At 37.9% G+C, this 25,823-nt stretch overlaps 1 protein-coding gene and 1 pseudogene across 3 annotated transcripts; both read right to left on the minus strand.

Moving 5' to 3' along the window:
- Positions 5 to 24,594, minus strand: BAAT (bile acid-CoA:amino acid N-acyltransferase). Of its 3 annotated transcripts, none has more exons than NM_001701.4 (4): positions 24,443 to 24,594; positions 10,527 to 11,051; positions 7,708 to 7,910; positions 5 to 2,603 (listed from the first exon to the last, which is right to left on the minus strand). In NM_001701.4, the coding sequence occupies exons 2-4, from the start codon at positions 10,990 to 10,992 to the stop codon at positions 2,016 to 2,018; spliced, it is 1,257 nt and encodes a 418-aa protein (NP_001692.1). In that variant the 5' UTR covers positions 10,993 to 11,051; positions 24,443 to 24,594; the 3' UTR covers positions 5 to 2,015. The 3 variants fall into 3 exon arrangements, with proteins under 3 accessions (NP_001692.1, NP_001361644.1, NP_001121082.1); NM_001374715.1 differs by lacking the exon at positions 24,443 to 24,594 and adding an exon at positions 23,331 to 23,461; NM_001127610.2 differs by lacking the exon at positions 24,443 to 24,594 and adding an exon at positions 23,058 to 23,152.
- Positions 12,717 to 16,099, minus strand: FYTTD1P1 (forty-two-three domain containing 1 pseudogene 1; annotated as a pseudogene).

Here is a 25,823-nt window from a genome sequence, read left to right on the forward strand (position 1 = left end):
TGGGTAATTTATAAAGAAAAGAGATTTAATTGGATCATGGTCCTGCAGGCTTTACAGAAGCATAATGCTTGCATCTACTTGGCTTCTGGGGAGGCCTCAGGAAGTTTACAATCATGGCAGCAGGTGAACAGCGAGGAGGCATCTCACATGGCGAGAGAGGAGGCAAGAAAGAGTGTGAGGATGGGGAGGAGGTGCCACACACTTTTAAACAGTCATATCTCTTGAGAACTCACTCACTATCATACTCTCATGAGGACAGTACCAAGCCATGAGGGTCCACCCCCATGACCCAAACAACTCCCACCAGGCCTCACCTCCAACACTAGGGATTACATTTCAGCATGAAATTTGGGCACAACAAATATCCAAACCATATCATCATCTCTAATCATGAATAAGTTAAAATGCCATCATTGTAGCTATGCAGCCAAATGCAAACAAACACTAAAAAAGCACTTGCTTATTCATACAGGAGTGAGATCATTTAGCTGTGACTTTTTACACTTGGAGAAAACATGTAAGAAAACATTTCTTGGTGCACAAGAAGGATAAAAATGCAAATGTATGGTATGTAAGATCATGTTAGCAGCCAGTGTTGGAGTAAGACATGGATCTTGACCCTATGGTTTTTGTGTAGACTGTTCCAATAAATCACAACCAGGAAGGCCAGCAAGTGTAGATGAGAGACAGGATACAGAATCCCTCATGATAAAGACTATGAGGAGAATGAAGTAGGAGAAGCTGATGAAAAGTGGGTGGATGATGGAGATCAGAATGATCCATCTCAATGAGATGAATTAGCAGATGTTTGTATGTCTCTAGATATTTAACTGACCCACTATATTCCTCAAGGATACTGCATTTGGACATAATACAAATTGGCAGTTTGGAATGTTGAACTTAAAGTCTTGCAAAATGTGGTACATGCTAGATGGTAGTTATGTTGCTATGAGGACTATATGATCAAAGCCTTATAGCAAAAAAAATTTTTTAATATTTGCAAAGGACTGTACAGCAAACAACCATGTGGTTGAATTACATGCAGTCCTCATATATTCAGTTGGTTAGCAAACTAAAGTATTTTTTATTTATGGGATGTACAGTAACTATTGGGTCTTACGGAAATATAGTACCTGTCCTTATAGAGCTCACATTCATGTGCTACTCTAACATGACTGAAGAAATTCATTATGGAAGTACAGTGATAGTTGACCCAATCACTCAGTTTATCAAACTCCCCAGGCTAGCCTGTACTAGTAGAGTTGTGTTTCTATTTTTATTTTTTACTTTTATTAATTTTATTTTTAATACAGATTTTCAGTAAGGGGCATTTTCAACCTAATTGGTTCTATTTTCTTGTATTTTCCATTTTAATTTGCTTCATAACTTAAACCAAGGCTCTTCCAGTCTTAGTTATTATGTCTCAGTTATGTGCCAATGGGCATGTTTTTAAGAACTGAAGAGGTAATTTATTGCAATGAACTAACTGACCTCCTCCATTCCTTCTTTCCTTTTTGACATGAATTTTACTACCCCACAAATGAAAAATGATGTTGCAAAGTTACTGTGGTGAAGTTGAAAAATATCACTAAAATGATTATAATTTAGTATTAATTTTCTCCTGCTGCTCTAATCTGATAAATTCTTACTATATAGTGTTTTCTGACATGGTATTTGGTTTTATATCTGTTACTTTGGTGCTATTCTTGTTTGCCTTTTCTTATTTTTGCCAGTGTACTATACCTCAGTCCTATTTAGAAGACCTGATGGAAAGAAAAGTCATGTAAATAATAAGTAAAATGATTTGTTTTATGATTTATTCACCATGTCCAGTTTGGTTAGCTTGTTATGCAGTATAAGTGAAATATCAGGTTTTTACCCTATGCTCTTTTTAATCATTAAAATTAATACAAAATGTGTGTGTGGCAGCTGGGGGAGACATTCCGCCATGAAAATTGAGAGAAGGTCCCGGTAAAGAGATTTGCTTCTTTATTTTCTAGGAATATCTAGTCTTCTTAGAGTTGACTGGTCACATCTGGAATGAGGTGCTTCCTGAGAAATCTCTGGATCTCCTTCCAAGCATGTTCCTGTGCAGCTGCGTGTGGGATCACCTCTCCTCCCCAGTGTAACCTCAAATCGTGGGTCGTTGAGGCACAGCACAGAGGAGAATAGGGAGGTTCTATCAGGTGGCCTGCCCCAGGGTAAGATAGCAGGGTCCAGTTGTTCTTCCCATGTCTCTTCAGCTGTCCTATGGCTTGTTCAGCGTGTGCTTTGCTGTTGATAGTCTTATCACCTTCTCCTACAATGAAGAGGAATTGCCCCTGGGCCTCTTCAATAGGAAACAAATATTGACTGGCCCCAACTTGAGTTGTCTCAAAAGTGCGATAGAGCTCTAGTAACCCCAAGGCATTGGTGGATATTAATTGTGCAGAATGGGGAAGGGGCTGATGGATCTGACCATGATATACCTGTGGAATGCCAAAAGGAAAGTTGGTCCCATTAATAAGTACCGTGGCTGTGACTTGCTTTAGGTAAATAGCCATAGATAGTCCAATCTGTACTCCTTGACATACAGAGACTACCCCAACGCCTGAGCCAAAGACCTGAAAAAAATAATAGAAATGAGAAATTATTCTAGCCTTCATTTAGGAAAACTCCACAATCTCAAACAACCAAAGAACTTCACTGGCTAATGAGAACAAAGCAAGTATTAATCCTACCCACATCCCTAGCTATAGAGTTCTGGAATATATAATATGTATTCAAAAGAAATACTCCAAAAATATGTCAAGCTTTACCGACTATATATTACGGATTCAGTATTGTGTTAGGTTCTGAGTTTAAAATGCCCTAAAGAAATGCAAATGTCGCAGGGAAAGTAAGAAATGGCACATGACTATTGTGAATAATGTGGGTCAGGGTATAGATGATTGGTACACTTTCCTCCCTTCAGAGGAAAGGGCACCTTGTAGGAAGAGACTGAGAAAGAAAGTGAGATCAGTAGGATAGAGTTGAACAGAGGATTCTAGATTTGCTTTGTTTTTTCCAAAAGTTTTCTCATTGTGGAGAAAAATGTCATAAAGGAGGCTTGGCTCAGCTTCCTCCCTCATTGTCAGTCATCAAATAAGCATCCTTAAATTATCTATCCTACGGCAAGCACTGGGAGTCACAGAGAGAAAAGGAACAATCTCTTGTCATTAAGGAACTCACTGCCAGATGAAGACACAGGAGGAAAAAAAAAAACACACCAGATGATTGGAGCATCATAAATTCTATGATATGAGAATGTATGTAGGCTAGACTGCCAACCCAGATTAGCAGGGAATAAAGGCAGGATCAAAGAAAGGCTCTCAGAGGAAATGGGCTACAAAACAAATGAGTCTTCGTATTAAAAAATGAAAGCCAAGCCTGGTTAACATAGTGAGACCCTATCTCTACAAAACTAAAAAATTAGTTGAATATGGCGGTGTGTGCCTGTAGGCCCAGCTACTCAGGTTGAGGTGGAAGGATCACTTGAGCCCAGGAGTTCAAGGCTTTAGTGAGCTATGATTGTGCTATTGTACCCCAGCCTGGGCAATAGAGTGAGACCCTGTCTCAAGAAATAAAAATTACAAGAAAGTCAACAAGAAGGAATGGTATTCTATGCTGAGTATAGCAGACTCTGTTAGTTGCCTACACAGGAGCCATTCTCCACAATTTCAAAGCTAATATGACCTTGATTTTGTGTGGCATAGCAATATATCCAGCCCCAAGGGATAAATTCTGATGGATCCTAATCTATTTCCCTTTCTCAGCCTCTCTTCCAAGGCCAACATATTCTACCTAAGGACTTTTTTTGCCCCCCGTGCAAACTGACACAGAATCATGAAGAGAAAGCCTATGTTTATGATCATTCTTTTCAGACTAGGATGCTGGCCTGTTGACTTAATTCCTGAAACTGCCAGAGTCATTTTGTGACCTTCAGAGTAAGGCTAGAAAATTGCAGAAATGTCAATCTAATCTCCTTGATTGAAAACTACACTGAGTTTCTAAGCCAAAGTTTGAACCACCTATCACCAAACCTGTTATGTAAGAGAATAAGATACCTTATGCTGATGTTTAAGCCACCATCAGCCACTTTTCTGAGAAATGTAGCCAAAACATTCCTAATGTATTCACCATAGGAGAAACTCATGCAAAAACTGAGAGGCAATGAAGAGCAAGGCATTTAGAGGAACCACAAGTCATTCTTCATTATTTTAATTTAGAGTATAAGGTGGGAAATAACATAATAAGTCTGAAACAGAAAACACCAACTTTATGGTGCATAGCTTTGAAAGATATATTAAGCATCTTCAGTTTTTTTCCTAACTAAGGAGGAAAATTAGGACAAATTTTAAGGATGGGCATAAGATAAGACTGAATAAGTATGCAGAAGTCAGATCATAGGAAGCTTTGTCTAACATGCTAGGAAGCCTGGCCTTTATCCTATAATAAATAGGGAGACTCTTAAGCAAGCGAGTAAAATAGTTGTGTTTACAACTCTGACTTGCATAAATGGAGGCAGAAAAGCCACAGATTAATGCACTGATAAAAGCAGAAAATTATACTGTCCTGAACTAAGGTAACAGCAGTAAAAATGAAAAGGAAACTACATGTTCATGAGTTATTTTTGAGTATTGAGTGTATTGCTCCCAGTTACCAATTTGGTTGGGAATTCTAAGGAGGAGTTAAAGAAAATTGTTGTGTCACAAAATAAAGCTCCGATTCTCCTTGAGCACTGGCTCCTGGCAAGGACAGAGTCCTAGAGAGAAGCATCACTTTTCTAAAACCTTTGTTGACTTCCTGTATTTATTTTAATTGATCTCCTATATTTTAAAGGCATTTTATAAACCAATGTTTGGGATATTTTCCCTACTACTTAGAAACACATGAATCAATATACAACTCATGCCAAGCTGATGAAAATGTGAGAAATTCTTAGGGTAAGAGGGAAAAAAAAAACTAAACAAATGGAATGAGTCATATATACTCTCTATTTCCTACCCTGTATATTTAACAGGGGTGGCTTGAATCAATTAAAAGTTCCTTTCAAGCTCTGAAATTCTGTATTTTTTTAATTTTAATTTTAATTTATTATTTTTTACTTTATTTTTATTTTTTGAGACTGAGTCTCATTCTGTCACCCAGGCTGGAGTGTGGTGGCTCAATCTCGGCTCACTGCAACCTCCGCCTCTCAGGTTCAAGCAATTCTCTGGCCTCAGCCTCCCGAGCTGGAACTACAGGCGCCCGCCACCACACCTGGCTAATTTTTGTATTTTTAGTAGAGTTGGGTTTTCTCCATGTTGGCCAGGCTGGTCTTGAACCCCTGATCTCAGGTGATCTGCCCACCTCGGCCTCCCAAAGTGCTGGGATTACAGGCATGAGCCACTGTGCCTGGCCTAATTTTTATTTTTAATTGACAAATAATAATTATACATATTTATGGTGCATAATGTGATATTTCAGTGCATATATACATGGTGGAATGAACAAATCAGGCTGATTAACATATCCATTACCTCACAAACTTACCATTTCTTTGGGGTAAGAACATTTAAAATCTAATCTTTTAGCAATTTGGAAATATACAATACATTATTATTAACTATAGTCACCATGCTGTGCAACAGATCACCAGATCTTAGTCTTCTTGTCTAACAGAAACTTTGTACCCTTTGACCTACCTTTCTCCCCCACCCCTCCCAATCCTATATCTTAATATATAAGATAGAGAGCGACAGTTATGTTAAGGAAAGATGGGAACTCAGAGTGGATTTGGCCATGAAAGATAAAGTAAAAGCAAGTATAACACGAAAGAACAAAAAAGCATGACTCATATCTGTGCAGGCTTTTTAATATGTTTCTGTCCCTTGCCAAAACAGTAACTCTTGTTACAACTTCTACCACAAAATTTGGGATCAGGAAATTATGAGTTCTTAGAAGTTACTTAAAATCAACACATAGAGAAATAAGACCTGCAAGAAAGATCTCTGTTCTATCATCCTGCAGAAGAGACAATGTGAAGTAGGTTTAATGGAATTTCTCAGAGTCTGGGGAAAAAAATCTGGTTTCCAGGCCTGGATTAATCATTAACTAGCTATCTATGTGACACTGGCAAGAACAGTGATGAAAAAGTCATGCAGCAAATATAAGGGGAACGAGGCAAAGACCGTGAAAAAAGAGAATCACATAACCTCTCCACTTCTCATCTAAGCCAAGAAGAAGGCTCACAATGATAATATTGACTGACATTTCGAGGGCAGTTCCATTATATGCATCAAAAATAGCCATTTAAAATGTTCACTACATCAGTAGATTGTCAGTAATTGTTGCTTATCTTATTTCTGCAAACCTGATTATATTTTGGTGATCCTTATATAAAAAAACATGTAGTATGGAGATTTAATTTTATTTCAATTCTTATTAAAAAAAAAAATAGAGGCCAAGGCAGGTGGATCACTTGAGGTCAGGAGTTGGAGACCAGCTTTCCCAATATGGCAAAACCCCGTCTCTACTAAAAATACAAAAATTAGCCAGGTATGGTGGCACGCGCCTATAGTCCCAGCTACTCAGGAGGCTAAGGTAGGAAAATTGCTTGAACCTGGGAGGTGGAGGTTGCAGTGAGCTGAGATTGTGCCACTGCCTCTAGCCTAGGTGACAGAGCGAGACTCTGTCAAAAAAAGAAAAAAAAAAAAAAAAAAGGAAAGGAAAGAAAAAATATTGGGCAATTAACAAGGTTTAATAAACTCCAACTCTATCCCATATCATAGTAGCAAAGCACATGTTTTAAAATTTTAAAAGGCATATGGATTGGAAAGCACTAATAGTATTATGTTTAAGGGCTCATGAGTAACTAAAAATTCAGACTCATTCTTCAAAGAAATACAGATTATCTGTCCAGTTAAGTATAGTGATGAGAAAAATGATAGCTAGTTAATAATTAGAGCTATAAGATAAGGCTGAAGCAGTATGTAGAAGTCAGATCACAGAAAGTTTTGTCTAACATTTGTTCATCTTTGAGTGCTTAGTATTGCCAGGTTCTATGATAAGCATTTTGCATGCATTATCCTTTTTTTTTTTTTGCTTTGTCACCCAGGCTGGAGTACAGTGGCAGGAACATGGCTCACCGCAGTCTCAACCTCCCAGGCTCAAGCGATCTTTCCTCCTCAGCCCCTGCTAAGTAAGTGGGACTACAGGTGCCTGCTACCACACCCAGCTATTTTTTTAGTATTTATAGAGAAAGAGTTTGGCTATGTTGCCCAGGCTGGTCTTGAACTGTCGGCCTCTATTAATCCTCCCATCTTGGCCTCCCAGAGTGCTAGAATTACAGGCTTGAGCCATCACACCCAGCCAGTCCCTTTTTAAAAAATAACCATAATATCCTATGACTTCTCTTAACTTCCAAGTACGATTCTCAGTGAACTTGAAATTCTATTCATGCCCATGTTATTTATAATTCACATGATTTATTTCTCATCCAGTGTCTTTTGCTCAGAAAGACAAAATGCATAGGAAGTTAGCCTGTGCACATTGTAGTATCAAAAGGCACTGGCTTCTGGCCAAGTGTCAGATCATGCCACTGCACTCCAGCCTGGGTGACGGAGCAAGACCCTGTCTTTTAACAAAAACAAAAACAGAAACAAAAAAACCCCAGGGACTCAAACCTACTGAAAAGACAAAAATTACCTTTGGATGTCTCAGGAGAAAGTTGGCAGCCTCCTCAAAATATTCCAAATCTGTTACTTCTGGTTTGCGGGGCAGGTCTTCATAGTTATGGTAAGCCAAGGCCAAGGAGGCGAAGCCACGACTGGCTAGGAGGCTGGCCCGAAATTCAAGCAGCCCACCCAAACCACCAAACAAATCAATTACCCCTGGGAAGAGACCCTCTCCTGAAAAATAACAAAACAGAATTGTACATGAAGAGAAGGTGTGGAAAAGATAAGAAAACTTGAAAATACAAAGCAGAAATACAAATGATTAGATAATAAAAGATAAAATAAATAAATAAAAGATAATAAAAACATGAGAACACAAAGCAGAAATGCAAAATTACATTCAAATGTAATTTTGAAATTAACATTTAAATATTCAAATACAATTCCAACACTTTCAGCCTTCTACCTGGGGCAGAATTAAGGTCCATTGAATATATAATGGAACACAATATCTAGACGTTTGACTAGGAACTACATTCAGAGACATATTTACTCTCTGCAGCTGAGGAAATGGGAATTCACAGTAGTTTCTATACTCTTGTTGTAAAGAAAGGCATATAAATTAGGCCAGGGCTTCTTAACCTATAAAGAAGTATACAAATAAGCTTTAGGAAATCTGTGAAGATCCTGAAATTACAATATATGCAAAATATGGTATATATATATTTGTAGGTGAATTTTACTTATGAGAGGTTCCACAGATTTAATTTGGTTCTCAAAGAAATACATGATTCAAAAACATTTTTTAAATGATTGTATTAGCTAAAATCCTGACTTAACACTGCTCTGCTACATTCATTTGACTATACAGTGATGAAACCTTACACCTAAGCTTATGTAAATGATGAGCCCCTTTATTCAATAACGCCATGTTCATTTTTTGCAGGCTGACACGTGGTAAAAAGTAGGGACGGCCAGAGTATCATTCTACAGTCACTCTGTATAGGCAGCTTTTTTCCAAAATAAAGCAGAGCCCACACACTGAAAGAAACTTACGATGCACTTATTAGGGATATTCTATTCTTTTATAAGTGGTTTTAACTAAGACAGAGTGATCCCATCCATATTTGAAAGAAGTGGCTTGATTTAAAGGAGTATTGGGAATTTTTAAAAATTACTATAATTAAGTACAATGAATAAATAATAAATAAAGTGAAGTTGAATATATCTTAGTTTTAAATTATCATTTGCATAAATGAATAAGGATGTTTTTACCATCTGATTGACAAGAATGGGGGAACACTTAAAAGTACTGAGTCTTTTATCTTGGAAGAATGTTACAGTCATGAAATATTTGTGATCTGACTCAACCTCCTTATAACCTCACACAACTCAGCTCTCTTTTGTTCCCCCGATAGAAAACACACTTGAAGCGGGAGACCCAGCACATGCAGTGTTCAAGAGGATTCACAAACAGCACACCCTAAACCAGCACATCATCCCAAGATGGAAGGCCTGTACCAATAAGCAGATTTTTAACTGGGGTGGGATAATAGAGGCACAGCAATTTGTGCCATTTAATTCTTGGTCCCTATACATAATAAAGTGGTCTATATGCTATTTACTGGGTATTTTAAAAACTCAAATTTATCCGAACAAGTACATGGGTTATGGTGAATTTGGAAAGGAAAGCTTTTATTGCTTTTTTTTCTTCTGAGAAATTAACTTTGCTTTATTTGGCCCCACAATAAACTCTGAGAAATGTACCAAAACATGTTTAAACCACTTATTTATTGGTATTTGGAGATTTCTGTGGGAAACTATGAGCGTTCTGATAAGTTTTATAGCCATTAGGAAGCATGCTATATTATTAGATTCATGGAATAGTCTATAAATATGTAATATTTATGAAGCTAGAGGTTACAAAGTTTCTTGCATCCTCTATATTTGCTGCAATCTTTCAGTCCATCTTATCTCCAGCTTGTTGTGGCAACAAGGTAATAACCCATGCCTAAACTGAAACTCAACCTGACAGAGCCTGTACAAGGATCTGGGATATGGTTTCCATCACATCAAGATGAGGGTCTTCATATAGCTATAAGATTAGAGCTATAAGATAAGGCTGAAGAAGTATGCAGAAGTCAGATCATAGAAAGTTTTGTCTAACATTTGTTCATCTTTGAGTGCTTAGTATTGCCAGGTTCTATGATAAGCATTTTGCATGCATTATCCTTTTTTTTTTTTTTTTTTTTTTTGCTTTGTCACCCAGGCTGGAGTGCAGTATCAGGAACATGGCTCACTGCAGCCTCAATCTCCGAGGCTCAAGAGATCTTTCCTCCTCAGCCCCTGCTGAGTAGCTGGGACTACAGGTGCCTGCTACCACACCCAGCTAATTTTTTAGTATTTATAGAGAAAGAGTTTGGCTATGTTGCCCAGGCTGGTCTTGAACTGTTGGCCTCTATTAATCCTCCCATCTTGGCTTCAGTGCAGAAAAATTTAGCATAAATCCAAAGCTATGTAAAGCCCATAATGTAGGGACTACATAAACTATATGTAGTCACATTCTTAGACAAGCTTCAGAATTGTTGAGATGAAACTTGAGCTGGAGTAGAATATTACCACATTCTTGTTCAGACCCAAGGTTAACATTGATTGTAAGGCAGGAAGCAGTGCTCTAGGTATTATCCATATTCAAGTTAAATTTCTGGAGGGATAATGCATTTAAGGTGGAAAAACAATAATAACAATAACCAGAGTAATTCTACAAGCTATTCAAGCTAAATTTCTAGACGGATAATGTATTTAAAGTGGAAAAACAAGAATAACAATAAGCAGAGTAATTCTACTCACCTGGAGGGAGAAAGAGAGCTCCTCGAAGGCGGCCTTCTCGAACCTTAATTCGTGTGACACCAGGTGCCACATACCACCTCTCCAAAGTCAGGCTGGCCTTTGGAGCACTGGCAACTTTATTGTTCACTATTAACTCTAAGTCATAAAGTTTTACTTGGACCTGGAAAGGCCTATTCATCACATCTCTTTTCAACAGTCTTGTTAATAGCTTTTCAGGTTTCAGAGACCAGAAGAGACCCATGGGGTGGACTCCCATATAATCCCCTCCAAGTGAAGAAGCATGATTCAGGTCCACCTCACCGAATTCATTGGCCCTATAGTGGGCTTGAGAATAAAACATGTCTCCGTTTTCATCTTCCAGTGATGCCTGAAAACTCACCATCTGAAAGGGAATCAGGCCTGTAGCTCGGATATGCACTGGCTCATCAACAAGTGCACTCACAGGGGTAGCTGTCAACTGGATCATTTTTTTAGTGTGGCACCTGGGATGATTCTTCAGGAATATCTTCAGCAAAACCTCAAAACCTCAAAAAAGAAAGAAAGAGGAGCAGTAAAATAAAGTAGAGATAAGGGTTGATGAAAGGTGAATTGAATCAGCAGTCAGACCACTTAGGAGTCAGTTCTAACCCTCTAGTTCTTTAGAAACTTCCTGATATAGTCTTCTAGTACAAGACACCTGAGAGCTTTCAATGAATTTCCAGAAGACAGTAAGCAAGCTGACAAATTTTATAACAATAATGAACCACTGTTAAAGAAGCAGCAGCCAAAATATGCATGAATGGTATCAATACATCTAGGAAGATAACACAATCTGTTATACAGAACCTTTAAAAGAAATCAGGTACAATGGAGGATAAAAATAAGATGTGGGTTTGAAAATATGGTTATTTATTGAACGTTTATATATATATGAGACATTTGACTTCACGCTAATCCCTTCCTCAAGTCCTGGAAACAGAATGCCTTGCATCCAAGAGTTTACCTGCAACAGAACATAAAAAAATAGAGGGATCATGGAATAGGAATACTATACAGCCATGAAAAAATGAAACCATGTCCTTTGCAGCAACATGGATGCAGCTAAAGGCCATTTCCCTAAGTGAACTAATGAAGAAACAGATAACCAAATACCTCATGTTCTCAATTATAAGTGGGAGCTAAACATTGGGTACACACGGACATTGGGAACAGAAGACACTGGGGACTGCAAGAGGACAGAGAGAGGGATGGGGGCAAGGGCTGAAAAACTACCTATTGGGTACTTAATATCAGGGTGACAGGTTCACCTCAGCATCATCACACAATATACCTATGTAACAATCCTGCACATATACCCCCGATCCTAAAATGAAAGTTAAAAAAAAAAAAAACCCAGAAGGATCTTCTCAAAAGAATGAGAATAAAATCTTTGGAAAGAACAAAAGGGGTGGTGTGTGTATTGCTCTTTAGAGAAAAAACATCCATAGCTTTGTACTTAGGATTTACCCAAAGGAAAGCAAAACTAGAAGCTGACAGGCCATTCAGGTACATAAAAGTCTTGCTGAGCTTTTTGTAACCTTTTAAAAATTAAGAAATGCCCATCTCCTTTTGATTAGTGTGAAGAAAGCCACAAGAGTTACCACTGTTCTCTCTCTAACAAACACAACTATCTGCATAAACTACAAAATTAGTTTTGGGGTTGTTGGTTTTTTTTTTTTTTTTGGTCTTTATTTTTGTTTTGTTTGTAACTCATTAGATTACTGAGAATGCAAAGAATCTACATGAATTGAACTCCAGCAAGTGACAAGCTGCTCCATAGGAAACAGAAAGTTTTCTCTCCTACATGCTGATTTACAATTATGATAAAGCAGCAAAAAATAAACCCAACAGAAAAAAATAAGGAGAAATCAACAGAAAATTTAATGTACTTTTAATGGATATGTGTGGATTGGTTTGATAAACTAGAATTCCAAGAAACTGTAGCCACAGAGTAAGTCTTTCTCTATCTGCCAACTTTCCGTAGAGCTTCACCATGTGCTCAGACCGAGATCAGGGGTGCAAGCTGAAAGAAATCTGAGGCATTGCACACCTTCATGTAAAATAAGGCAGCTGCCTTTCAATGAATGGGGTCAGAGGAGCAGAGTAGAGAGAGAATAGGGAATAGGAAATGAAAACACCCTTATATCATATTTCACAAACTGTTCTAAAGACAGCAAATTCTTGCTCAGCTGCTTTTCCTTGCTGTAAAATAAGCTACCAGTAATTCTAAACCAATCTAGAATGCATTGTTTCTGGACCAAATATAAGCATGCATACTTACAAAAATGCTTGGCAATGAGTACTTGGCCTATTTGTCCCCATAGCCATAAAAAATAATGTGATCATGTCTTTTGCAGGAACAGGGATGAGTATCAAATAGCTGAGGAAAGACTAGAATTTATTTTTAAATTCTGTGACTGACTTCCAAAAATCCCTTATCACTAGAAGTACTGGCAAAATATCAGATATTAAAGGATCAGATTTAATTCTTTGATATAAGCATGAAATTTTTACTGATAGCTTTCAGGGCTAGCATAAACCATTAAGTAACCCAAGAAGCATGAGAGACAAGAATGAAGTCTAGTATAAAATGCAAGGCAGGCTGAACGATAACGATGTTTTGTTTTATAGGAAAAGTCAACACTAATAATATACTCCAGAGAAACTATCACCTACTTGGATGTTTTTAACATTATAGCAAACTAAAACGTCAAGCTTCAAAATGACTAAACCTGTAACTTATAGCTGGAACATTTTGCTGAATTTGTCATTATACTATAATTTATAGTGTTCAACATCTGAGGACTCAGCACTATCTTGGCAAACAGACTAACTCCTCCCACCCATCAAAGGTCTCGGGGGTAGGGGCGAAGCCCTTTTCTCCCCATCAATACTGAGCTTTATACCATACAAGAAATCAGTGAAAGGTAAACAACAAGGTACAATGTAATTCTATTATATATTTTGCTTCTGTTATTTGTGACATATACAAGTATATTTTTGGTTTTGGAGCTATAAATTAATTTAGCAAGCTTCAAAGCTCATAAATTTTAACTTTTCAAATGAGAAGTAACTTTTCAAATAAAGTTTAGGACTTTACGCCTATTAATTTTACTATCAAAATGTCTGAAGGACTCCATTTAAATAATTATAATTCTTCTAAATATCATTTGAAGAATTATTTGTGGACACTAGACTCAAGACTACACTAAATCCAAACAGTACACATGACCTAAGTTTTGAAGTTTCTCATCTCAGTTACCTGTCTTTCAACTTGCTACTTGCTCTCATGCTTTCATTCACTAAATACAAACTGTCAGATTCTTAAACTGGACCCTCTCCTCCAAGGCCCTATCAGATTAACTTTGTAAATATGCATCTTCAGTCTTTAAGCACCAACATTTTAAGCTGAGACTAATGCCTAGAGCCACATTTCTAAGTTCAGCACTAAAAATTCATAATTCTGGGGTATTAGCCTAAAATGTACCTGAAAAGTGAACCAAGTTTCAGATATTTTCATAAATCTTGAAACTCCAAACTAGAATTCCAATATTTTTAAAAATATCTCTCATGAAGACAAGGCAACTGTATTTACTGCATCAACACTATTAAAGGATAACTGATAGCAACAAAGGGACCTACCCATATTTCAGAAGGCCAAGATTTGTCATGATAAAATCTAAAAAAATGGGCAAAGGCAATGAGATCCTAAATACCACTATCATAAAAATAATCAGTTTCTATATTTCTATCTTCCTTCTGCTATAAGAGGAACCAAAGAAGTCAAATAGATAATTGTTCTGTCTGAGCCAACAATGAAATCTTTAAGAACAGGTATATTCCCTGTTATTGTCTCAGGGCATTATATCATACCTGCTTTATTTAAAAAAAAAAACCTTCAGAAATAAAAATGAGTTAGCCTTGTGAATGTTTTGAAGCATAGTTTCTTGAATTTCTGTGATGAACTCTTCAAGCAATTCAATTTTTCAGCGTCATCACTCAAAATTCCCTTTGATATGGGATCTATCCCATGATTACTGATATGGTTTGGCTGTGTTCCCAACCAAATCTTAACCTTGAATTGTAATAATCCCCACATGTTAAGGGCAGGGCCAGGTGGAAATAAATGAATCACGGGAGTTGTTCCCCCCCATACTGTTCTCATGGTAGTGAATAAGTCTCACAAGAACTGATGGTTTTATACATGGGAGTTCCCTGCACAAGCTCTTTTGCCTGACACCATGTAAGACATGACTTTGCTTCTCCTTTGTCTTCTGCTATGATTGTGAGGCCTCTCCAGCCATGTGAAACTTTGAGTCCATTAAACCTCTTTCCTTTATAAATTACCTACTCTCAGGTATGTCTTTATTAGCAGTGTGTGAACAGACTAATACAGTTACAAAGCAGCTTCCTCCTTTGTTGTTTGTCAGAGTGGCTCTTTGTTCCTTCAGGATCCTAAACTTCTCATTCAAAGTCATCTCTGTCTGTTTTCCAGCACAATTTATGTCAATTGTAGGGTTCCACTTTAGGAACTTTCGTTATGTCAGATTGCTTCCATTTTGTTAAAAATGAAGATACAGCAGTATGAATTAATCCTGATTTCTGTGTTAGGCATTGCACTGCTCCAGGATTGTCCAAAGATAGAGTCAAAATTCCTCCGTTTGTGGTGAAAGTGAGACAGCCAGTGGGAAGGAGTCCATGGAAAAACTCCAACCGCGGGCGAACTGGGAGGAATGCACACTGGGGTGCCACCGAAGTTTCTGCTATTTGCAGTAGGGAGGAGCCTGGCCCCTCCTCTTCCTGTGTGGAACCTTGGATTCAAATGGCGAGGCAGGGAGCGCACTAGCTGCGATTCCGGCTTTGCCGAAAGTAACTGTTCCCCCTTTTCTCCTTTTTGCCCAATAAGTTCCATTTTTCTCACTCCGCAAATTGTGAGCCTAAATTTTTGTGGCCGTGGGACAAGGACCACATCTTTAGCTGAACTAAAAAGAAGTCCTGCAACAAAAATCTGCCATTGATGAGTTCTCTTTCCGACTACGTTATCCAGCAGTTGCTGTTGTGTTCAACTGGGTCTGAACCTTCACGTCTCTTCTGAAATGAAAAGTTGCCTGACGCATGTGTTTCTGATGGCTTAATTTATTTCCATTCTTGGTAAAATTGGCTGGAATGTTTTTTTTTTCTGTTTAGCTGGTTAGGTCCCTTGAGAACTGCAACTGGTTTTTTTCTGCACTTCATATTTGTCCCAGAAGGTTTGCCTTCCTTTTTAACACTAGAAAATATCGTTCTATATTCCTGTCACCTAGAGACGGATGATTCATAGGATTAATTTCTTTGTGAATTCCAGTTGCTTTCCTAGATGCAAGGCCAGTGATAACTCCATAAAGCTGTCTCTTTCCAGGCATTACTCATCCTCTGTGCTCAGACTAGTCTTACCAAAGCCAGAATTCTGTTGAATTCTCCATCATATGCTCATCCTGAATTGCCAGGCTCCAGTTAGAAAATTATGCTTCTTTCCTCCCTGTCAATTTAGTTTGATGATATCATCCAAAGACATACCAATTTTGTTGAGATTTTCATTGTTGCGGGCTTTCAGTGGCAGCAATGGGGTCACCCTGCCTCCCACCAACCAGGTACCAAAATGGTTCATGGCTGGGGATGCCTCACTAGAACAGTCAGCAGAGAAGGCCACAGTTGGAGGCCTGCCACCTCCCACTCACGCACAAAGACTAGCTGCATTGTTGGAGGCCTGCCACCTCCCACTCGTGCACAAAGACTAGGAGCATGTAGGCATGCTGGCCCGGTTTAGTGGTATTTTAAAGATTGTTTCAAAATGAATGGAAGAAATGATATAGATACAAATAAATAGATCTAAAAGTTAGAGAAAGAGAAACATAGAAAGCAATTTTGTAAGAGGGCATTAATGGGCATTAGGTAGATTCCATGTCTTTGAAACTGTGAAAAGCTATTGTGAATAGTGCTGCAATGAACTTTCATATGCATGTGTCTTTATGGTAGAGTGATTTATTTATATTCCTTTGGATAGAGAAAAGCTTTATGGAATTCTTGTGTGGTCAAAAGCTGAGTGAGAGTCAATGAAATCATTCATAAAATTTTATTAAAATTAGCTTTACTATTGATAATACTCTAATACAAAGCAAAATTTAGTTTTCTCTTTTGAACAAGATTTTTGGATAGTATTAATGAGAGATAATAAAATTTTTGTTTACCTTTTGAGTCTTAATACAACACTATCAAATGTTGGGTGGACCAAAGGGAGTCCCTGCTGGTTCCCCAACATTAAAGAGCCCCAAATCAGTTTTCTATATTTACACCAGATTGGGGAAGTTTCAAAAATCAGAAGGCAAAAATTACAATGAGAAAGCTGATTAATAATTTCCTGGGGCAATGTGGAGACAGACTAATCAGATAAAGATTGACAAAAAGGCCCACATCCCTTGGCTCAACTCCTTGCTGGGAACCCAGAGGTTTTTTCACAAGAGAGGGTAAAATGGTCTGGGGGTGGAGTACAGAAGTTCCTGAGACTAGAGCATAAAATATAAGGATTGATAGGATTATAAAAGCTAAAATGTTTACAACACCCCTTCATGCTAAAAACTCTCAGTAAACTAGATATTGATGGAACATATCTCAAAATAATAAGAGCTATTTATGACAAACCCATAGCCAATATCATAATGAATGGGCAAACCTGGAAGCATTCCCTTTGAAAACCAGCACAAGACAAGGATGTCCTCTCTCACCTCTCCTATTCAACAAAGTATTGGAAGTTCTAGCCAGGGCAATAAGGCAAGAGAAAGAAATAAGGGGTATTCAAATAGGAAGAGAGGAAGACAAATTGTCTCTGTTTGCAGATGACATGATTCTATATTTAGAGAACCCCATCATCTCAGTCTAAAAACTCCTTAAGCTGATAAGCAACTTCAGCAAAGTCTCAGGATACAAAATCAATGTGCAAAAATCACAAGCATTACTATACCAATATTAGACAAGCAGAGAGCCAAAACGTGAGTGAACTCCCAATCACAACTGCTACAAAGAGAATAAAATACATAGGAATACAGCTTACAAGGGAAGTGAAGGACCTCTTCAAGGAGAACTACAAACCACTGCTCAAGGAAATAAGAGAGGACATAAACAAATGGAAAAATAATTCCATGCTCATTGATAGGAAGAAGTGATACTGTGAAAATGGCCATACTGCCCAAAGTAATTTATAAATTCAATACTATTCACAGAACTAGAAAAAACTACTTTAAATTTCATATGGAACCAAAAAAGAGCCCATATAGTCAAGACAATCCTAAGCAAAAAGAACAACACTGGAGGCATCATGCTACCTGACTTCAAACTATACTACAAGGCTACAGTAAACAAAACAGCATGGTACTGGTACCAAAACAGATATATAGACCAATGGAACAGAACAGAGGCCTCAGAAATAACACTACACATCTACAACCATCTGATCTTTGACAAACCTGACAAAAACAAGCAACAGAGAAAGGATTCCCTATTTAATAAACGGTCCTGGGAAAACTGGCTAGCCATATGCAGAAAATGGAAACTAGACTTCTTCCTTACACCTTATACAAAAATTAACTCAAGATGGATTAAAGACTTAAATGTAAAACCTAAAACTATAAAAACCCTAGAAGAAAACCTAAGCAATACCATTCAGGACATAGGCACAGGCAAAGATTTCATGACTAAAACACCAAAAGCAATTTCACCAGAAGCCAAAATTGACAAATGGGATCTAATTAAACTAAAGAGCTTCTGTTCAGCAAAAGAAACTATCATCAGAGTGAACAGGCAACCTACAGAATGAAAGAAAATGTTTGCAGTCTATCCATCTGACAAAGGGCTAACATCCAGAATCTACAAGGAACTTAAACAAATTTACAAGAAAAAAACAAACTGCCTCATCAAAAAGTGGGTGAAGGATATAAACAGACACTTCTCAAAAGAAGACATTTATGCAGCCAACAAACATATTTAAAAAAAGCTCATCATCACTGGTCATTAGAGAAATGCAAATCAAAACCACAATGAGATAATATCTCATGCCAGTTAGAATGGTGATCATTAAAAAGTCAAGAAACAACAGATGCTGGAGAGGATGTGGAGAAATAGGAACAGTTGTACACTGTTGGTGGGAGTGTAAATTACTTCAACCATTGTAGAAGACAGTATGGTGATTCCTCAAGGATCTAAAACCAGAAATACCATTGTTAGGAGGTCTCCAACTCCTGACCTCAGGTGATCCGCCTGCCTCAGCCTCCCAAAGTGCTGGGATTACAGGCGTGAGCCACCGCATCCGGCGAATGTCGCATTTTGACATGCCCAGGAACCTCCAGTTATTTGGAAATCTTTAGAAGAATTCACCCAATTTATACAGCTATTGCAGCCTGATGGCAAATCCCTGGCTTTGTTAGCCTCAAGGCTTTAAAAAAATCTGAGATTCTTTATTTAAAAGTTCCAAAAAAGCCAATTTTACAAGAACCTATATGGCCAATCACTATTCTTGCTGCACTTTATGCAAATAATCAGGTCAAGCATAATGAGACTAAAATTCATTTTGCAAATAAATTGGTCCTACAATAATTTATCCTTGGTAGAAATAGAGAAACTTAGAAAAAAATTGTTTCAGAAGAAAACTATTGTACACCCATGATTAGATTCTAGTCTTAACCATTGTTTTTATTACTTGCCTACAATTTGGACTAAATCCTAAATTATTTTGTGGCTACAAGAAGTCTCTAAAGACAAACCCGGTTTTAATTTTCTTCATGTTGTTTTTAGTTGGCTCCCTAATGGAATAGGTTCTTTTTTGTTGTTGTTGTTCTGGCATACAAATTCTGTTTTTGATTGTAGTCCCTTGTGTGCATATTAATGTTATTTATCTCTCATTGTTTTACTTCATCCAAGAAAATCAAAATCATGGTACTCCAAAGACTAGAGATGATTCAAGAAAGCCTATGCATTTTTTCTCATCTGAAATCCCACTGGGCCTGATCTGTTTCCCATTGCCAGTGCACTGCTGCTAAAGCTGTACAATATCAAGCACCCTTCCTCTAAACTCAAAGACCATTGAAGAAGAGGACAGTGTGTGAGATTCTAAAAGCCCAATTAGAAAGCTGGAGTGTGGAGGTTATAGCAACTCCATCTTGAATTCTAATCTGCCAGTTGACATCTGATTAATCCCACTTCTAGGAATGCCTTTAAGATTTCTGCCTTATCTACTATCTCTTGTATAAGAGCACCTACCATAAATCCTACCCTTAGGCAAATTCCTACATATTCCTGCTGAAGCATGTATATCCTTTCCCTATGGTATATCAACCCTGGGTCTGGGGAGTAACAGTGAGGGGATCCTTTGTCTCACAGCTGCCTGAGACACAGCTTCTGTTTGTAAGCCCCTATTAAATGTTTCTCTCTGAGAAACTGTTTTGTCACTCTCTTTGTTCAGTGTCTCAGCTCCCTTGGCCTTTGGGGGTAGGTTTGCACAGACCTGCTCACTTACCACAGAGCAAGCTTACTCACAGCATGGTGGCTGGGTTGGAAGGGCAAGCAACACAAGAGAGAAAAAGCTAGGTAGAAGCTGTATCCTTTTTATATCCTAGCACTGGAAATCACATAGCATAATCTCTGCCATTTAATAGCAGCCACAAGCTCCCATCAAAATTCAAGTGGAGAAAATGTTGATACCTATTAACAGTAGGAGATATGTCAATCACATTGTAAAATTTTTTTAAGTGGATGAAACGTGTATGTGTATTTGCTTTTTATTTTTTAAGATGGAGTCTTGCTCTGTCGCCCAGGCTGGAGTGCAGTGGTGCAATCTTGGCTCACTGCAATCTCCACTTCCCAGTTCAAGTGATTCTCCTGCCTCAGCCTCCCGAGTAGCTGGGATTACAGGCACCCACCACCATGCCTGGCCAATTTTTTTGTGTTTTTTTAGTAGAGATGGGGTTTCAGCATGTTGGTCAGGCTGGTCTCAAACTCCTGACCTCAAATGATCCGCCTGCCTCAGCCTCCCAAAGTGCTGGGATTACAGGCATGAGCCACCGCACCTGGCTGTGTGTGTGTATTTGTATGTGTATTTGTGTATACATTTTTGGGAAATGCAATCTGCCACAAGAGGAAAGGAGGAATAAAGGAGCAAATAATAAATGGGATGAATGGAAATGGGAGTTTAAACCCACACATATCAATAATTACGTTAAATACAAACAGATCAAACACTCCAATTAGAAGACACAGGCCAGGCGTGGTGACTCATGCCTGTAATCCTAGCACTTTGGGAGGCTGAGGTATGAGGACCGGTTGATCCCAGGAGGTTGAGACCAGCCTGGGCAACATAGTGAGATCCCATCTCTACAAAAAAAAAGTAAAAATTAGCTGGGTGTGGTGGGGCAAACTTGTAGTCCCAGCTGCTTGAGAGGCTGAGGCAGAAGAATTGCTTGAGCCCAAGAGGTCAAGGATGCAGTGAGCTGTGATCATGCCACTGGGTGAAAGAGCTGACTCCACCTTGGGTGAAAGAGCTGAAATCCTATCTCTAAAATAAATACATACATAAAAATAAAAAAGAAGACAGATTGTCAAACTAATTGAAAAAGCAAGTGGTTATTTTTCAGAAACACATTGTCAAAAAAAGACAGATTGAAAGTAAAAGAAAATATATGCAACAGTGTTTGTGTTGCATATATGTGTATATATAGATGAGAGATGAGACAGACACAGACATAAATACATGCTGACAAGAATGAGCCTACAGAGAGAGAAGTCCTGAGAATGATAATTCAGTGGTGAGTAAACATTGAATATGTTTCCTGAGAAGCTTAAAAATAAGTGATACTATAGCTTCCAAGTACCGTATTTCATTTGTTTTCTTGTAATCAAGAAATTGAGTACTTAAGATCATACAGAAATACATGAGAGTCAGAAATGGAATCTACATTTCCAACTCTTAGTCAAATTGATTAGTACTTCAAAAAGAATTTATCAAGAGTCTACATGTCATAGTCACTGACAGATAAGATGCAGTTCCTACTCTAAATAAGCTTAAGGTATAGTATTTCTTCTACATATTGTTACAGTAGGTAGCTAGTCATGCATGAGTGGGGCAGGAGAGGGTTGCCCCCACCCACCAGAATGTCAGGTGACTATCAGGTGATGGTCACTCTGCTTCTCTAAAATAACAATTGGTCACAGCCAGCACCAGGGAGAGGCAGTTTCTCAACTGATAAAAACACCTGAAATTGATAATTGGCAGCTTTCAGGAACTGGGCGAATGAGCTCAAACATGCACATTAAGAGTCAAAATGGCAGAGTATGACCTTCCAGGGGCATTCCACCAGAATTTGAAAGAAAGCCTCAGATAAGCATGCATAAAACTCCAGTAAACACACTGTGCATGCCCACATCCCAAGCACAAGCAGGGCACCATGCATGTGGGTGGCTCCCCATAACCCTTAAGGGAAGGATGAAGGGAAAGGGGTGCAAGATGCCAGAAGTAGGCCAGCATATAAAATCCTAGGTTCAAGGATGAACGAGGCACTTGACCTCCAAGATGCCTGCTTGGGTCTCTCCCAAGTGTGTTTTCCTTTCTTTCCTGTTCTAAAGCTTTTTAATAAACTTCTGCTCCTGCTCTGAAACTTGCCTTGGTCTCTTTTACTGCCTTATGCCCCTCAGTTGAATTCTTTCTTTCGAGGAGGCAAGAAATGAGATTGCTGCAGACCCATACAGATTTGCCACCAGTAACTCAGATATTCACCACCCCTAACAATATTATCCATTCAATTTATTTCTATACAAATATCACATGCATCAACCAGCGTGCCCAAACAGAAATAAGTCAATTAGAAAGTCATTAACTTTAGCTCAAACTTATACTTGCTTTTTTTGGTATTTTTTAACATTACATTTCACTACCAGAAAGCATTCCTGAATTGCATAAATAGGTATAACATATATTCAAAGCTTCAAGAAATATTTTCACAGAATCTAATTCTAACATGGCATTAGTCTTACATTAAAAGAAAATTACCCTTCAAACAAAATATAAATAGGACCACAGTACAGTTTCCCAGAATAGGAGGGCTTATTCTATAAAATTCTAGGCAATAGTCTTTTAAAAGAGGGAGAAATATTGATGGGGATGGGGAAGACAGAATAAAGAAATTTTAACAAATGACTTCTGATAGCCTTTCATTTTCCTCAGAAATATAAATTTCAGCTCAATATCATCATAATAGCAAGTCCCTACTGACATCCTTTCTAAGCAAATCAAAATGAAAAGACACACTTATCTGAGCACTCTGGGCAACTCTACAGCTGAGATTATGAAATGAACAAAAAGACTATTTGTCCTCATGAACTGCTAAAATTCCAAACACTGAGGTAAATAAACTCTGATTTAATTCAAGAGCAGAGATTTTAACTTATTTCCAATCGGCCCAAATAAATAGTCCTGATTAAAATACAAAGTACCTGGATTCTTCCTCTTGAGCCTTCTTTTCCAGCAGTAGAGGGAAAATGACAGACACCCTACCAAAACTTGCCCAGAAGGCCAAAACCTCAAATATGCCTTTGGAAGTATAACAGAGCTAACTTAAGTGCTAGGTCACCACATACCTCTTGCTCTAGTTTCCTATTAATTTTTAACAGTTATTGAACCCAATAAATGTATCACTATTTTCCCTCTTCATTTTCTGTTCTCTCTAAATCCGTCCCTCTTAGGGATTGCCACTACATTTTACTCACATTATTTTAATAATTTTCTTTATAGAAGTTGTTTGACCCCTATTGGCACCATTAGGGCATATTTTTCTTCTGCAATAAAATACTCAAGGTAACTTCTGGAGGGCTCTGCATTTGCAAATGGTTTCTTTCCTGAGACAACAAAAGATGAAAACTACAAATGTGATCACAGTAATGAGTAATAAAATACTCAAGCCCCACTTTCAGAATTTGGGGAGGACCAAATCTCCTACTAATCCTCCTCAACTAATTCACATGGTTTCTTGAAATAGCTACAGAACGGAGTGTTAGTAGGATTTTACATGACAATAAAAGGACTATCTCCATAAAAGTACTGGATCTTTTTTGAGGTGATAGAGCATTTAAAAAGTGCAAACTTAAAGGAAACTTAAATTCAACTTAATTTTAAGGAAGTCTGATCAGCCAAATACTCCATAAAAAACTTGAAAACTATTAAGCTACTACCTTGCAAGACTTATGCTACAGATACAACTGATTAAGAATTATTAACTGGGATACATAAAATATTCCTAAAAAAGTAATGTCTAAAAATCTCAGGTGAATATGAGAAAAAGTCTTAAACAGGTACTTAACAGACAATAGGACACAATCATAAGCTTATGGGAAAAGGCTTAATCTCATTATCAAAGAAATGCAAATTAAAATCATGGTGTGTATTTCATACCTAAAAGGTTGGCAACAATTAAAAATTCCAAAAATAAGAGTTGGTTAGGAAGTGAATCACTCAGACTCAAGCCCTACTAAGGGAATATAAATTGGTACCACCACTTTGGAAAGCAATTGGACATTGTCTAATAAATGTGACAATATGAATAACTTTTGACCCAGCAATTCTTCTTCTAGAGAATAAAAATAAATGAATTACAACTACATGCAATAACCTGGATGAATCTTATAAACATAATGTCGTTAGAAACTAGTCATAAATACACATAAATAAATCTTTCAAATTTGTATTTGCTGAACTAAAACTATAGGCCACATTTTTGGAGTAAATCTTTAAACAAAAGCAAGGAAAGGATTACTGAGAGTCTGGATTGTGGTGAAAAATTACATTAAAAGAATGGAAGTAAGTAAATGAAAAAAATACATACCTAGCAAGAGAACCTGCCCCCAAAATTTCAGCGTAGGTTCTATTTTCCCTAAGTGTCGGCTGGTCTGAGAAATAAAGAGAAAGAGTACAAAGAGAGGAATTTACAGCTGGGCCTCCGGGGGTGATGTCACATATCAGCAGGACCGTGAGGCCCCGAGCCACAAAACCAGCAAGTTTTTATTAAGGATTTCAAAAGGGGAGGGGGTGTATGAACAGGGAGTAGGTCACAAAGATCACATGCTTCAAAGGGCAAAAGGGAGAACAAGATCACATGCTTCTGAGGCCAATAAAGATCACAAGGCAAAGGGCAATGCAAAGATCACAAGGCAAAGGGCAAACTTAGAATTACTGATGAGGGTCTATGTTCCACTGTGCATGTATTGTCTTGATAAACATCTTAAACAACAGAAAACAGGGTTCAAGAGCAGAAAACCGGTCTGACCTCAGATTTACCACAGCAGGATTTTTTCCCCATCCTAATAAGCCTGAGGGTACCGCAGGAGACCAGGGTGTATTTCAGTCCTTATCTCAACTGCGTAAGACAGACACTCCCAGAGTGGCCGTTTATAGACCTCCCCCTGGGAATGCAATTCTTTTCCTAGGGTCTTAATATTTAATATTCCTTGCTACAAGAAGAATTTAGCGATATCTCTCCTACTTACACGTCTGTTTATAAGCTCTCTGCAAGAAGAAAAATATGGCTCTATTCTGCCTGACCCCACAGGCAGTCAGACCTTGTGGTTGTCTTCCCTTGTTCCCTAAAATCACGGTTATTCTTTCTTTTTCAAAGTGCACTGATTTCATATTGTTCAAACACACGTTTTGCAATCAATTTGTACAGTCAGATACAATTACAGTGGTCCTGACGTGACGTACATCCTCAGCTTACCAAGATATGAGGATTAAGAGATTAAAATAAGACAGGCGTAAGAAATTATAAGAGTATTATTTGGGAAGTGATAAATGTCCATGAAATCTTCACAGTTTATGTTCAGAGACTGCAGTAAAGACAGGTGTAAGAAATTATAAAAGTATTAGTTTTGGGAACTGATACATGTCCATATTAAAATGAAATCTTCACAATTCATGTTCCTCTGCCGCGGCTCCAGCCAGTCCCTCCATTTGGGGTCCCTGACTTCCCGCAACACATACTATGCAACAATAAGCATAAGAAACCTAAAGTAGTAATGACTAAGATTATAAAATATATATATATCATATATCTATATGACAAGATCATAAAAACCATAAATCCGAATAATGGATTTCAAGATTTATGTGGCAAAAATTGACAGAATTAAAAGGAGAAATAGGAAAAATAACAATTCCATAACCATGAGTGAAGGTGTTTAAATCCCTTTTAACAATTGGTAGAAAACTTG

Source organism: Homo sapiens, chromosome 9 (assembly GCF_000001405.40).
Source record: "Homo sapiens chromosome 9, GRCh38.p14 Primary Assembly".
NCBI lineage: Eukaryota > Metazoa > Chordata > Mammalia > Primates > Hominidae > Homo > Homo sapiens.